Source organism: Homo sapiens, chromosome 5, assembly GCF_000001405.40.
Source record: "Homo sapiens chromosome 5, GRCh38.p14 Primary Assembly".
NCBI classification, from domain to species: domain Eukaryota; kingdom Metazoa; phylum Chordata; class Mammalia; order Primates; family Hominidae; genus Homo; species Homo sapiens.
The window spans coordinates 3,773,465-3,789,982 of NC_000005.10; the positions used below are offsets into that span (position 1 = coordinate 3,773,465).

At 44.1% G+C, this 16,518-nt stretch overlaps 1 long non-coding RNA gene across 5 annotated transcripts, besides 2 other annotated features; it reads left to right on the plus strand.

Moving 5' to 3' along the window:
- The first annotated feature begins 4,935 nt into the window (after positions 1-4,935).
- LOC105374625 (uncharacterized) lies at positions 4,936-14,600 on the plus strand. 5 transcript variants are annotated; one of them, XR_925712.2, is made up of 5 exons: positions 4,936-5,011; positions 5,681-5,755; positions 8,757-9,024; positions 13,887-13,951; positions 14,264-14,600. It is a non-coding gene; the product is annotated as an uncharacterized LOC105374625 (long non-coding RNA). The 5 variants fall into 5 exon arrangements; XR_925709.2 differs by lacking the exon at positions 8,757-9,024 and having other exon boundaries at positions 5,681-5,760; XR_925711.2 differs by lacking the exon at positions 8,757-9,024.
- Positions 14,563-15,200: an enhancer, noted in NCBI's record as "OCT4-NANOG-H3K27ac hESC enhancer chr5:3788141-3788778 (GRCh37/hg19 assembly coordinates)". NCBI's record gives its function as "activates a minimal SCP1, AML or CMV promoter by ChIP-STARR-seq in naive and primed H9 embryonic stem cells {active_cell/tissue: H9 hESC(naive and primed)}" and the evidence as "EXISTENCE:reporter gene assay evidence [ECO:0000049][PMID:30033119]".
- Positions 15,201-15,837: an enhancer, noted in NCBI's record as "OCT4-NANOG-H3K27ac hESC enhancer chr5:3788779-3789415 (GRCh37/hg19 assembly coordinates)". NCBI's record gives its function as "activates a minimal SCP1, AML or CMV promoter by ChIP-STARR-seq in naive and primed H9 embryonic stem cells {active_cell/tissue: H9 hESC(naive and primed)}" and the evidence as "EXISTENCE:reporter gene assay evidence [ECO:0000049][PMID:30033119]".

The following is a 16,518-nucleotide window of genomic DNA, read 5'->3' on the forward strand; positions in this document are numbered from 1 at the left end:
CAGATTCTTGTATTTTAAAATTGTTTTGTTTTCTTTTTTAAGCAAACTATTCCCCAGAAAGACTTTTCTTGGCGCAATTGACTTGATTTCCAGTCAGCACCTATTCAAATAACAGTAACTTGTTTTTTTTTTTTGACCCTTTAAATAAACATCATTTACATGTTGTATCAGAAAGTGCACAAAGCTGTAAACTGATAAAGTTATAGATTTTCACGGAAATTAAGAACCAGAAAGGGTCTATGCGGTTCTTTAGCTTAGCCTTTATTTGAGGAATGTTACTAAAAAATGGTATGTCCGTGAAGATTTTGTAGGTCACTCATGGCTAGGTGAGGGGTTCAACAGGGGGAAACAGGCGTTTTGTGACAGGAGTTCCCATCGCCCAGACAATATCCTATGCTGCATCGGGGGGCTTTTCTCCTGGGGGGTTTCCCAGTGGAATGCCCCTGAGTGATCTCCCCAGCCAAGAGGGAAGCTGACACTCCCAGGGTGTTTGTGTCCTGCCTACCCCAAAAGCTAATCCTAGGATCCGGATCTCCTTAATCTGTATAAAGCCCTCTCGTATTCACACTGAGAAAATGCACTTTGTTCTCCTCTGAAGTGGCTCACAACCAGTCAAACAGCTTCTCAACTGGGAGTTGATCTTCTTATGAATGATCAGAATTTACCTGCTCTAAGCAGCTGTGTTCTTCAGCATTTATAAAGCAGAGTTCTATGGGGCTGCCATGATGGATTAGAAAGGACTGATCCTAATGCTTCCTGTCCATTGCATGAAGCCAGAGGTGGTTTGTTTAAGAACACTTTGGAGAAAGTGTTCCATTTGAACAAATGGTCTGAGGTGTCCTAAAAAGCCCCAAATTTAGCTGAATGCATTCTCTGCTTTTCCTCTTAGGTTTCAATTGGACTGATTTACATCATGGGTTTTTCTACCCTCTGTCTCTTTGCTTTTCTTAGGTATAAACTTGTCCCAACGTGGTGAAAACGCCAGCTCTTCTGGAGTTAGGGCATCTCACCCTTCCTATTGCCTCGTGAAGCTCTCGAGGTCTTACCTTTGCAACACACCCTTCTGACGGGACTCACCACTGTGTTTAAGAGCTGGGACTGGTGCTCTTGTTCACAGCTTCTCCTTGAGAGTAAATGCTGCTCTTGTTTCTTGTCTCATGGTGGCCCCACGCCCATGCTGCTGGTTTTCCAGAGTCCCTGGTTGGAGATAAGATCCAGAAACCTTCCTCAGTGCCTGGCGCTGAACCATGATCTGCATAAATGGATGGAGAATCATACGTTCCTGGGTGTTCTCCATGTTCCCCCATTTATGGTGTGCACATCTCCCCAGGACTCGCTGGCTGAGGGTACATGTGTGGTCACTGCTCTAGAACTAAGGCATTGCTCAGGCCTCCTTGCCCTCATCTGCCAAAGCGGGGACCACAGCTCCGCTTCGTCATCTTCCTTGCAGCTCCTACAGCATCCTCCCCACCAGGCCCCAACTGCTGAGCTCTGCCCATGACAGCAGTGGAGGACTCCGCCCTGCCATCTACCCAACACACCCATCCTGACTCCACTGATCCTGCCCCATGGCAGGCCCTCTGCATGCCCCAAAGCCACAGTCTTCATGCATCCAAGTGGCCTTTTGGGCCCCATAGAGGCCAGTATCAGGGCCTCCTCCCTTCTTTATGACAACCGTCATCACCAGGATGGGCGCGGGCCAGGCTGCTGTTCTCTGCTCCCTTCAGAAGGGAGTGCCCTGTCCACCATTATCCTGAAGCTCTCCTCGTCAGGAGGCTCACACAGGAGTGAGGGGCCGGAAGGTGGCCAGCTCGCCATCCCCTCAGGCTGACCTGCCGACCTCTCCCGTGGCGGTTGCCTGTTCTTAAAAGATGCTCCTCTGGGCCTCATGCAATGGGAATTCTGATGGGACTCTGGCCATGATGTGCCCGGTCTTCTGGGCTACCTGACCTGCATCCCAGGGCTCAGCTGAGGCCTACAGGATGCTTCACATCATAGAGGGCTGTGGGCTCTAGGACAGAGTGTGTGGAGGATGCTAAGGAAGAAAAGAAGCATGTGGGGGATGCCTGGGGGCTGTGGAACTAGTGGGTCCCGAAGACCAAATTTCTCATGCATCCAACAGGGCAGCTTAGCATGAACAGGGGTAGAGCCCAAATGGTGGGATAGACTGACACATACCCTACGATCAAAACTGTGAATGGTTTTACCTCAACATGGAGCCAGAATCAGGGAGAAGCTTCTAGTAAGAAGAGATGAAGGTGCATTTGGGGGGCAGCAGAAATAGAGGCATATAGTTGTGAAGAAGACAACATTTTGAACCTGATATACCTCAGACATTCAGGAAGTTTTTCATTCACAGAAGACATTTGACTTTAAAACATATTGATATTGTATGTAATAACTCAGATGAAATAGCCTTCTGCTCCTGATGTGATGTTGCATAAAGACACTAAAAAATGTGTTGTCTTTGCCTTGGAATCCTTTAGATATGTCTTTGGGTGGCTTATGGGAGAGACTTGAAACCGTGGCCTCAGCGCTGACCCCCAGTTTCCCCGTGCAGCCAGGCCTGGCTGCTCATGAATGATGCCATCTCAGCCTCTGCTTCATGCTGTCAGTCTTTACAGAAAATTCCCACTCCCTTAAAATGACACTTAACTTCTGACCCTCATAGAATCAATGTCTTTGACAAAGATAAAGATTTTTATTAGGACATGGGTTCTTCTGTGGAGATCAGCATCAGAGTAGATGGTGAGCGGTTCACACTCTTCATGCTTGGTCCTGCTCAGAGAGACTCGGATCCACCCTCTGTGCAAGGAATGCTCTCCTCATGGGGACCCCTAGACACAGACAGGATAAGTGAGCCCCTGGATCCCACAGCAGGTGCAACTTGTGTTTACTTATTTATGTTTACTTTATTTTATTTTTCCATAAGTTATTGGGGTACAGGTGGTATTTGGTTACATGAGTAAGTTCTTTAGTGGTGATTTGTGAGATTTTGGTGTACCCATCACCCGAGCAGTATACACTGAGCCGTATTTGTAGCCTTTTATCTCTCGGCCCCCTCCCACTCTTCCTCCCAAGTCTCCAAAGTCCATTGTATCATTCTTATGACTTTGTGTCCTCATAGCTTAGTTCTCACACATCAGTGAGAACATACAATGTTTGGTTTTCCATTCCTGAGTTACATCACTTAGAATAATAGTCTCCAGTCTCATTCAGGTCAGTGAAATTGCTGTTAATTCATTCCTTTTATGGCTACGCAGGATTCCATCATATATATATGTGTATATATATATATGTATGTGTGTGTATATATATATGTGTGTGTATATATATATACACGTGTGTGTGTGTGTGTGTGTGTGTGTGTGTGTGTATATATATGCCACCATTTCTTTATCCACTCATTGATTGAGGGGCATTTGGTTTGGTTTCACAATTTTGCAATTTTAAATTGTGCTGCCATAAACATGGATGTGCAAGTATCTTTTTCAAATAATGACTTCTTTTCTGCTGGGTAGATAACCAGTAGTGGGATTGCTGGATCAAATGGTAGTTCTACTTTTAGATATTCTTTAATGTTTAAGCCTCCTACCTGTAGGACTCTCCAAGCACTTCAGACATTAGTGGCTTGACAGTGGGACCCTTGTATCTCTGGAAATGTCTAGAAGCAACACCAGCAAAACATGATGCCTGGATGCAGATCCCTGTATGGGAGACTTACGCAGTAGCTTTCAGAGTTTGAATCGTGAACCACAGCAAACTATGGATTCTGCACCGTGGCCTGGTTCTCATCAACAAACAGAGAGCTGGAGAAACACTCACTCTGTGAGGGATACCTACACTCGCTGTGTAGCATGCACACTGTAGATTTTATTCTGATTCTTCAAATAAAAGGCTACCAGTCTAAAAAATGTCTTGACAAGTGATGCTTCACAGCTGGAAAACCCAAGTTCATTGCTCAAATGAGCAGAAATTTTAGATTAAACCAGTGGAATATTTAAGAAACAAAACCCTGTATAAGGAAGTGTGGCTTAAAGTCCCACATGAAATAGCTAGTAGATTTAAATGGTGGGCATGCTGGTCTCAAGGGTTAATTTTATTTTCATTGGGATATAATTCAGATACCGTAAAACTCACCGTGCTTAGGTGTGCAATCCAGTGGATTTTAGCACATTCGCAAACTTGTACAAGCAACACAACTGCCTAATTCCAGAACCCTTTAGTCATCCCCCTAAAACACTCTGCACCTGTTTAATTTTACAGAGTGTCTAGAGTGTCTGAGATCATTTATGTGACCACAATATTTATTGAGAAGTTTTGAGAATGTTTTGTGGGCTCTGAAGTAGCTAACGTGTAATAGGGACATTTCTATTGAAAATTGCCTTTCAAAATGGACAGGTTTAGGGTGTAAATATCTAACATTGTTAAAGAAGAGCCAATTGTTTTCATTTCCGATATCTATATTCACACAAATGGCCAGCTAGCACTTAGAGCATGAGGTATGCTGCTGGCGAAGTCTCCTGGAGGCCACTAGATTCAAATGTCGGCAGAAATATTATCTTGGCAAATACTAAGTGTGTAAGAAATGCCATTAAAGCTAGGAAAGCAAGACATTCATTGAGCAACAACAATTATGGATTATCTATTTGTGCAGCTCAGAGAGTGTGTCTTCTCTGCCTTTTTTCCTGAGCTACCAAGAGAATTAATTCAAGTTTTGTCTCATAATTTCAGGTCAGCCCACCCTCTGGGCATTCATCCCAGGCCGGCTTTATCAACAGCAACAAAACTATGACAGTTTGAAGCTTGCATCTAAAAACACAGAGTGAAGCTTTCAAAAAGAGCGAGACATTGACTTTCAAAATAGCTCTGTCTACTGCATGCCATCTTGATAAGGGAGTTTCGCAATAAAGCATTTGCCGGGTGGGTGACTGATAGCAAAGCTGTGTTTCCTGGGGAAAAGTGTGGCATCTTCAGTTTACATCAACTTGCTCTCATCTGAGACAAAACTGTAAGTAAAAGGCAAAAGTTTACCCTCTACTGCGTTGTTATGGTCCAGGCTGTTTCTTCTCATGCTCTTTAAATGAAAGAAAGTGGCTGGGTTCACTATTGGAATGTCAGGGAGCTCAGGTGCTATTGTTAGAATGACTTCCTGGTGGCACAGCCATGGCCAAGTGACCTTGTTTCCACGAGAATCCGTGGTTTTATGCTTAGGTCTAGATCATTCTCTCGTCAAACGATGAGGTTCGGGTCAGCTCCTCGGGGCCAGCAGTGACCTTTCTGGGGAAGGCAGTAGCTGCCTGCTATCCCGTTACTTCTGAAGACTTCGTGGTAAAGTTTCCTAATTGAGAAATTTCCCTCCATTTGGAGAGAATTTACACACATACCAGGAATGGCTTTGGGGAGCTATTTCCCTGCCAGGGAGTCGATTTAAACAACAAAAAGTCAAATCATCCTGCCCTTTTCTGCCTGTTCGCTGCCTGCTTGTGGGGCCGCAGGAAGGCTCAGAGCTATCAAATGAAGAAAAATGGGCCTTTGGCTTACAACTATATTGGCACCCCCATTCCCCCTGCATGGAAGTTTTCATAAGAGGCCTGGCAAATGGTTTTAAAATAGCTGTGGTATCTGGCAGGTTGGAGTGTGCACAGCCTAGAAGTGTTGTTTCCATTTCATTCTTCAGCTGTGTGTCCCTGCTGCGATGGATGCCAGATAGAGCCTGCTTGCCTAGGATGGGGACAGATGCCATTGGAAACAGGTCAGGTAAACTTGAGCTGCTAGATTCACCCTGATGAAACTCATTAGCTCCTGGCTCTCTGAGCACTTCTTTTCAAAGCTAACACTCTGGGCTTTCAAAGAACAGATTCCTGTTGCAAACTCACCCAAAGCTGGCTACCAAAAGCCATCACATTTACCCCTCTTTGCTCCTGGTGGTTCACAGAGAAGGTACTGGACACACATTTTAAATATAAGCTTTTACTACGTCTCTCTTGTCTGCTTATGAAGACACCAGCCATGGTTCGTTAGATGCGTGGGAGCCACCATTTCTGTAGTGGAGTTCCACCGCGCCTTTTCAGGAGGAGGGCTGGCCCGGAGTGGGGAGCCACAGCAGCCCCCTCTGCTGTCTCTTAGTCTTGCCGTGGTAGCCCCTTTTCCTAGGTGTCCGCTACTCAGTACTGTCATCAATTACTGAAGCTTTAAATGCAGTGTACCAATTTGAGTTTCGGCCAAAGTTATGGCAGGGACTTTAAGGCAAGTTTGTAGAGAAGTCTTGACTCCTGAGATGAACCATTTTTTCAATAGGCGAATATGTTCTAAGAACAAAAAGTTGAGAATGTTGAAAATGTGATCTGTTGGTGTTTACTAATACAAATTTAGGCATTTTAGAAAAAGCGCAGAGCTCTTTGTTTTAAAGTCATCACAAACACAATAAGAAAAGGAGAATGGAAACCAAGGTTTGGTATCCATACTTGGTGCCCATGTAGGCTGGGGCTAATCCAAACCAATTAATGTCTAACTAAAAGAATTATTTTGTTTGATGTATAAAAATAAGATTATGTAATTAGAATTGGATAGGCCACAGCTTGAATCTTTTCTCTGCCATTGTTTATCTGGGGGCTGAGTTTCACTTTTATTATTGGTCAAATGTGGGATCATGTTATTTATTTTGTAATGTTATTGTAGAAACAAATAAGAAAGCTCCTCACATGATACTTAAACCACCCAGCAAATAAGATGCAATTATACTTTTGTATTTTTGTTTCTTTTTTTTTTTAGAGACAGGGTCTCACTCTGTCACTTAGGCTGGAGTGCAGTGATGAGATAATAGCTCACTGCCGTCTCAAACTCCTGTGCTCAAACAATCCTCCCACCTCAGCTTTCTGAGTAGCTGGGACTACAGGTGCATGCCACCATGCATGGCTAATTTTCTAAAAAATGTTTTAGGGATGAAGTTTTGCTATGTTGCCCAGGCCGGTCTCAAATTCCTGGGCTCAAGCAATCCTTCCACCTGAGTCTCCCAAAGTTCTGGGGTTACAGGCATGGGCGCCTGCACGAGGTCCCAAGTACACCCTTGGAACTCACATCAATTCACTGGAATATCACCACGATTGTCCTTAGTTGAAAGGCCAGTAAAGACATATTTATCACAAGCCGTAGACTCCAATTAAACGTATATTTGAAGCCAAGATCCATCATTACTTCCTTTGGAGATGCTGTCACCTGTCTAAGAGTCTAGGAAGTTTTAATGAATATGGAATCTCAGGAACTGTCACCTTTGAGAATTACAAAAATGTACCTATTTGCTTTTGCACTCTCTCTTGCCCTGATCTGCCACATCACATATGGCCAGGGGGTCTGTGGGCTCCTGACAATAGTTCTAGGTAGCCCAGATGGGAGGGCCCAGGATGGGCAGCTGCTGCTGTGGGATCTGAGACTGGTCATAGGAAAAATGGGGCTTAACGATGGGCAATGTGCTGGGCTCCTGGATGGAAAGAACAGCTACGAAGAGACAGCAAACCCTGGTGTGAAAATGTCCACTTGGCAAGGGGAGTGCGACTCACTGACAGTCACAAGGTCATCTGGAGGCCGTTCCCCAGCCTCTGTTGGATGTGCCACCTGCCCCGGGCCTGTCTGGCATTGCTTTCTGTTTGTGTTGCTTTTCTGGACGGTCAGGGCTGTGGCTGTTTCTGGAGAGCAGTTGTGGAGGGAGCTGCGGGCCACTCCCCACTGCGCTCTGTAGGGCTTTGCCTGGACCTCTAGGGAAAGTCTGGCCACCTGGCCCAGCCTTGTCTACGCTTTGGTGAAATAGTCGCGCCTAGAGTGAGATGCATGATGCACACATAGGCCAACCCACCCTGGCAGGGCGATGATGTCGTGCTCCGTGGCGTGATTGCCATGGCTTTCAGCTGCAGGCAGAGCCCAGGCCAGGAGGAAAGGAGCGGCAGCCCAGGCAATGCAGATGTCTCTCTTTTTCCTACCGCAGAAAGGGAAGACTCCCAGTGAATGGACCCTATCTGCACTTGGCTGTGACTTTCCACCAAAGTTGGGATTCTCCTCTTCTCTAGAAACCCATCCTTTAGGTGGGCTGAGAAGTTTGGAGATGTATAGCAAACCTCTTGAATGATTTTATATTTCTGAGATTTGAAAAAAAAAAAAAAGGCCAGGCATGATGGCTCACACCTGTAATCCTAGCATTTTGGGAGGCCGAGGTGGGCGGATTGTCTGAGCTCGGGAGTTCAAGACCAGCCTGGGCATCATGGTGAAATCCCGTCTCGAGTAAAATACAAAAAATTAGCCCTGCGTGGTGACTTTGCCTGTAGTCCCAGATACTCAGGAGCCTGAGGCAGGAGAATCGCTTGAATCGAGAGGCGGAAGTTGCCGTGAGCCGAGATCTCGCTACTGCACTCCAGTCTGGGCGACAGAGTGAGATTCTGTCTCAAAAACAAAAACAAAAACAAAAAACATAACGTCCATAGAGTTGTGACAGTCTTCCCTCAAATGGCCATGGGAAGCTCAGTTCACCTGCTGTTTGCGTTAGACGAAAATAAGGGTGCTCTGTGAGCTTTGTTAGTTCTGGGGTTCCTATGGCTAGCTCCTAAAATATGCATGAGGCCTGTATACACATTTGCAACTTGGAATTACCATTTTTATTAAGTCTCAGGGTTAAAAAAATAAGTAATCATTACATGAAATGGGTGTTTCTTTTGGCAAAATAAAAATCTGAAAGATACTAAAATTACACAGTTCATTTCAACCAGATGCTGGTGAGTCCTTCCTCAGAAATCCGGTCCTTGCACTGCCTGGGAATACAAACAGATGCTCTGTGGCACTTCATTATTGGATTGCGAGCACATTGATGTTTCATAAAGGGCATTGTAGAGTAATGTTTGCCATGCTCCATGCCAATTGCGGGCTGAGATTGCTACAGCATCATGGAACAGATGGAAGTTAAAGTCGTAGCTAAGCTCCAGTCTCCATTTCTTTTGATGAAGAGCTCCAAAGATAGCTTTAAGTGAACTTTCAAAGGTAACTTTCTGGGCTTCTAAAATGCATAAAATTTATGGAGGGTATTGCACTAAAGCATGAGAAATACTTAGGTACGCCTCTTATTTGTCATCTTTTGGGGACTAGACTATGTGCAGGCTTATTGGTAAAGCTCTTTTCTAAATAATGTGTTTGTGCACCCTTGGTTTAGCTATCATTTCTGAGACTATCCCCATTTTCCTCACCTCCATGAAAGGGAAAGTTTACTGGAAGGTTGCAGCAGGTGGAGGTGGCTGTGTGCAAGCCTGTGGCATTCTGCTAGCAGGGTGCTGCTTGCAGTCTCACTTAGCAACTAGAGTAATGGGTAGATATGGCATTAGGGGAGATAAAAAGAGAATAATTTATTTTCATGAAACTCTCAACCTCATTGAACTGAAGAGCCCACACAGCAGTGCTTAAGAACCTGTGGGTTAGAACTTGTCAAAATCGGATTTAAAGTCCTGATTCGGATACTCACACCCTCGGCGACCCCTGCAAGTTGCTGGCTATTAATATTTCTGAGCTTCAGGTTCCGTGTCTACCATTTAATAATAATCCTGACTTGACAGGGTGGTTGAGTGGTTACATGGAAAAACACTTCGAAAACATTGCATGGGATGGCTGGAGACTGTACCTATGGGCTGTCACTGCCGTGCACACACACACGTGTGTGTGTTTTCACAAGCATGCCCAAATATGCATAAAATACCAAATATGACCAAGAAGATAAATATCTAGTTCTTTACCACAGCTCGCATTTCCTATTTCATACAACTTTTCCTCACAGACAGACAATTTCTTTTGTGAATAGAGTTCTCCTTATTGGATAAAGAAGCACTATTAGCATACACCAAACACTTCTAATCCACTCATGTTTTAGCCACGCCATGCTTTTGATCCACTTCTATAAAGACCAATGGAAAGGAATACCTTGGCCCTTATTCCAGTGGGGTTTTTCCCTCTGGCTTAACTGTCAGTGAAAATATCACTTTCAATCTTGCCTGGGATCAGAACCTGGAGCTGTGATGTCCACAGCATCCTCCCCTGTGACAGGACGGATATCCATCCCTTTCTCTTAAGTGGAACACTAGTATGTTCAAAAATCAAAAGCATAAGGCACAGAAAGACAAATATCATGTGTTCTCACTTACGTGTGCAAGCCCAAAATTGTAATCTCATGGACGCAGAGAGTAGAATGACAGGCCCCAGTGGGTCTGCTGAGAAGCAGGTGTGTGGGGAGGGTTGGTGAATGAGAGCAAACCTGCAGTCAGAGAGAAGGAATGAGGTCTGTTCCGCAGTACAGGAGGTGACTCTACAGTTAACGACAATGTATTGTATATTCCAGAATAGCTAGAAGAAAATATTTGAAATGTTCCTAACACAAATAAATGATAAATGCTGGAGGTGATGGAGACTCTAAATACTCTGTCATCATCACTACACATTCCACACATGCATCAAAACAGCCTGTCCCTCCCCCCCGCGAATCTGTGCAAACACTATGCTTCAATACAAACTACAAAACAATCCCATCTGGGAACAGGTGAGTGATGTCTGTCTTGGCATTGGAATGTCTGGTTCGGGAGGACAGTGGCTGGGGAAGGAGACCTGTGATTGAGCTTCTGGCCCAAAGAAAGGGACCACAGTGTCTGGGGAAGAGACGGAGGGGCTCCTGTCCAATGGTGTCCTCCATCCTAACCTGTCCCTTTTGTTTCCATGTCAAGGAACTGAGATGGAATGACCCCACCTGTCAGTTCACTGGAACTGCCATGCCCTGATATTGACGTGAAAGGGGTATGCTAATGTCCCAATGAGAAATACTTCGACATTCTGACTGAAGCTCCCCTGTGGCAGGACAGATAGCCAAGACTATGCTGAGATTGCTTAGAAATGTGCTTTTCTAGAACATAGATTTTGTCATCAAGTTGCATGATTATCCAGTAATCATATGTATTATTTTAATAACTAAAATGGTTTCTCCCTGCTCCTGCCAAGTTTACTTCATGAGTGTAAACAGCATGAGCCGGAGGGTTAAACTGGGATTTTCCGTCAACTATGGTCTTTAGTATTGTGCACTAAATATAGAAGTTCAATGAAAGTTTTGTTGAATTGAATTACTAACTCAATTTATATCAGTATACATATATCAGTATGTTTATGCCAATACCCATGTCTGTATCTATATCTATAGTTCTGTATGTATCAATATCTATACCTATCTATATCAATATCTTTATAATATAATTATCTACGTCAAATCAATACCTGTATATCTATATCTATACATAAATGTATCTCTGTCTACACGTATCCTTATCAGTACATCAGCACCAATATCTATGCCAATATACTATACTTGCCTGTATCTGCATCGGTATATTTATCAATATCTGTACCAGTGTAAATATCTACATGATCTATACCTCCACCCACGTCCACACTCACATCCACATCCACATACACTTCCACATTCACATTCACACTCACACCCACACTCACATCCACATCAACATCCACATCCACACCCACATCCACATCCATATCCACATCCACACCCACATCCACATCCATACCCACATCCACACCCACACACTCACATCCACACTGACATCCAGACTCACATCCACACCCACACTCACATCCACACCCACACTCACATCCACACTCACATCCACATCTACATCCACACCCACACTCACATCCACACTCACATCCACACCCACATCCACACTCACATCCACATCCACACCCACATCCACACTCACATCCCCACTCACACTCACATCCACACTCACATCCAGACTCACATTCACACCCACACTCACATCCACATCCACACTTACTTCCACACTCACATCCACATCCACATCCACACTCACATCCAAATCCACACTCCCATTCACATCCACACTCATATCCACACACACTCACACTCACATCCAGGCTCACATCCACACCCACACTCACATCCACATCCACGTCCACACTTACATCCACATCCAACTCACATCCACATTCACATCCATATGCATATCCACACTCACATCCGTATTCCACACTCATATTCACACTCACATCCATAGCCACACCCACACTCACATCTACACACTTCACACCCACAGTCACATCCACATCCACACTCACATCCAAATCCACAATCCCATTCACATCCACACTCACTCACATCCACACTCACACTCACACTCACATCCGGGCTCACATCCACACCCACACTCACATCCACATCCACACTTACTTCCACACTCACATCCACATCCACACTCACATCCAAATCCACACTCCCATTCACATCCACACTCATATCCACACACTCACACTCACACTCACATCCAGGCTCACATCCACACCCACACTCACATCCACATCCACGTCCACACTTACATCCACATCCAACTCACATCCACATTCACATCCATATGCATATCCACACTCACATCCGTATTCCACACTCACATTCACACTCACATCCATAGCCACACCCACACTCACATCTACATCCACACTTCACACCCACAGTCACATCCACATCCACACTCACATCCAAATCCACAATCCCATTCACATCCACACTCACATCCACACTCACACTCACATCCGGGCTCACATCCACACCCACACTCACATCCACATCCACACTCACATCCACATCCACACTCACATCCACTCCCACATTCACATCCACATCCACATCCACATCCACACTCACGCTCACATCCACATCTACACTCACATCCACACTCACATCCACATCCACACTCACATCTACTCCCACATTCACATCCACATCCACACTCACACTCACATCCACGTCCACAGTCACATCCACACTCACATCCACATCCACACTGTCATCCATATCTACACCCACATCCACATCCACCCTCAAATCCACATCCACACTCACATCCACATTCACATTCACATCCACATTCACACTCACATCCCCAACCACATCCACACTGACAATCACATCCACATCCTCACTCACATCCACATCTCTACCTCTCTATGCAGTGGCTTCATGAACTTGATGTTTGTAAAAGTCATACCCAAGGAAAGGGCTACTAATTCCTGTTTAACAATTGGCCTTTTAAGAGATAATTTTCTTCTTCACATTGGTTTCGAGAAAAATAGTCTGCATTAGAGGCACAGGATTTTAGAGACAAGAAAATAGTCATTCCAGTGACTACGTCCACAAACTATTGGAGAAATGTGTTTTATCCATGTACATGTATTTGGAATGAGGACCTAAGGGTATGTTGTTATCTCAGCCATCGAGCCATGCCTGGCCTTGTCCCTAGCTTGCAGCGCTATCCATGGTCAGTAGGTCACTGCTGCTCACTCCTTGTGCCCAGCCGCCCAGCTCTGGTATTAACAACACCTCCGTGTGTATCAGGGGCTGGGAGCTCTGCATCTTCGCTATGCTACAGAGCTTCAAAATGCAATCAAAAGGAAAAGCAAACTCCAGGAAACACTGAGACACTTTTAGAGTTTCTCTGGGAATTTTACTTGGTGAAATCACTTGCAACCGTCTACTAGAAACCTCCCCTGGGAGTGTTAATGCCATTTTTTCCTCTCTTCCCCTCAATGGAAATCAGGGATCAATCCTCGGAGCCCTTCATTACTTGACGTGGGAACCCAGGTGTGAGCATGATTAGCGGCGTTTAGGTGGAGCGCTTTCTGGGACAAGGTTGCATTAGTCCGCCAGGCCGTCAAACCGGGTGCTCCTCCCATGCTTTTTCAGGCAGAAAATCTCTTAAATTGAATAATTGTCATTTTCCAGCCCTCAGTGAGGCCAGAAATCACTAGAAATCTCATTTAAACTTTCCCTCCTCGTTCTCAAGCAAATTTACAACAGCGGCCAGTACTTTTGCAAGATCGCTGGAGAGAATTCATCATCAGAATAGAGGTATTTTTCTCCATTGTTGAGCCAACTACCTTCCATAAATTTTTTCATCATTTCACCCATCTTATTATGACCTTCCTTGGATAAAAAAGCCCAGCTCTAACTCTTTCTTTCTGCCGGCAGTGCCTCCCTGTGTATGATATGGTTAATATTGATTATAAATCACAATCAACTCTGCAAGTCCCGCCCATCTCCCTGGACTCCCCTTGCCCACCCCCTACAGAAACTATTCTCTGCCCTTCACCTGCTGTGAAATGCTGTTTTGAATATTTCTCCTTTAAAATGGAATCGCCACTTCCAACTGTATTTATCTAGATTGCAAGACCATCACGATGACTTCACGTCAGTGCCAGCATATGCAGCCGTGGAATACAGTGAGCGCTCTCTGCGGCTGACAGCAATAGCGGTGATCTAATTTACCCGGCGACTGGAAGAAACTCTTTGTACAGGCTCTGGGTCCCTTTGGATTAGTGACTTCAAGGTCAACTGGAGGAGAAAGGAAGCAGGGCTGAGGGTCACCCTCTCCTGTCTCATTTGCATGCTCTTGAATATATGATTTTAAGAAACATGCGTTTTTGATCTGCAATGTAAAAATTCCTCAATGATTTTTTGTACAGATGTGCAGAATACAGGAATGAAATAAAATATTGAGAATTTGTGGCCTCACTTTTTTTTTTTCAAGCTTTCTACAGTGATGCTAAATTCAACTTTGACCACTTGGGTTTTTAACGTTACTTTAAAAATCCCAGTCTCAATTAGCTCCTCCAAGGCTGATGTGACTGTAGGCACATTATTCCCGAGGCTAAAGATATAGTCATTTTCCCATCTAGTTGACTTTAGCGTAAAAATACAATTGAATCATAAGCAACGGAATTGTATCTATTCAACTCTTTTCTTTCTCAACTAGAGTTAATAATGCTAGGTTTTACTCCTTCCTCCTAAATAACATAAAATATACGTTTCATGCGCGTCCGTGTGAAGAGACCACCAAACGGGCTTTGTGTGAGCAATAAAAGCTTTTAATCACCTGGGTGCAGGCGGGCTGAGTCCAAAAAGAGAGTCAGTGAAAAGAGATAGGGGTGGGGCCATTTTATAGGATTTGGGTAGGTAAAGGAAAATTACAGTCAAAGGGGATTTGTTCTCTGGCGGGCAGGAATGGGGGTCGCAAGGTGCTCAGTGGGGGAGCTTTTTGAGCCAGGATGAGCCAGGAAAAGGACTTTCACAAGGTAATGTCATCAGTTAAGGCAAGGACCAGCCATTTACACTTCTTTTGTGGTGGAATGTCATCAGTTAAGGCGGGGCAGGGCATTTTCACTTCTTTTGTGATTCTTCAGTTACTTCAGGCCATCTGGGCATATACGTGCAAGTCACAGGGGATGCGATGGCTTGGCTTGGGCTCAGAGGCCTGACAATATGAAATTGAAATTAGCACATCTCCAGGATGATTAGGTCTTGAGTGGATTTTATTAAATTTACTCACATGCTGTTCACTTTTTCTTAACCAGAGAGTGTGTGTGGAACTAGGCTTCTTTTCTTTCCTATTTCTTATAGTAATAGAGAGAAGCTTTTTTGTTGTTGTTATTCAGTAACAAACCAAAAACAACAAATAAAGCCATGGAAAGCAATGTGAAATAAAAAGAAAGCAATGATTATAGCATTATTAAAATTGAGAAGAATGATAAAGAGCTTTAACTGACACTTTATATCATGCTGTGCTCTCTGCTAAGAGCTCCTTACACAGGCTGGGCCCAGTGGCCTATAATCCCAGCATTTTGAGAGGCCAAGACAGGAGGATAGCTTGAGCTCTGGGTTCGAGTCCAGCGTGGGGAAGACAGTGAGACCCTGTCTCTACTAAAAATACAAAAATTAACGGGGCGAGGTGGTGCATGCCCTTAGTCCCAGCTACTCTGGAGGCTGAGACATGGGAATCGCTTGAGTCCGGGAGGCAGAGGTTGCAGTGAGCTGAGATTGCACCACTGCACTTCAGCCTGGGAAACTGAGCCAGACCCTGTCTCAAAAAATATACATGTATATGTATATATAAAAATATATAAAATATATTTTAAAATATAAATAATATAAATATATAATTTATATATTTTATATTATATATTTAATATTATATTATATATTATATTATTTATATAATACATATTTATATAATATGTTATATAATATAATATATAACATTATATATTATTTTATTATATTTATATTATTTATATTATATTCTTTATATTATAAAAATATGTAAATATATAATATAAATAAAATATGTATAAAAATATAAAAATATATATGTATATATATTCCTTTTTTAAGAACTCCTCTCACAGACCTGGTCATGGCTGGTAATCCCTCTGCAATGCGGAGGAAGGGAGGGTCTTTTTGTTTCAAATGTAGATGAAGCTCTGCCAATGTCTGTGGAAGAAGAAAAGCATCCTACAAGACGATGGGGGCGCCCACCAGAGGAGGAAAAGCAAACATCGGGTCCGGCACAAGACAAACGGGCATTTTCTGGGACGGTGACGGGACTGGGAAGTGCAGTTGGGGGTTGGGGGCAGGACACA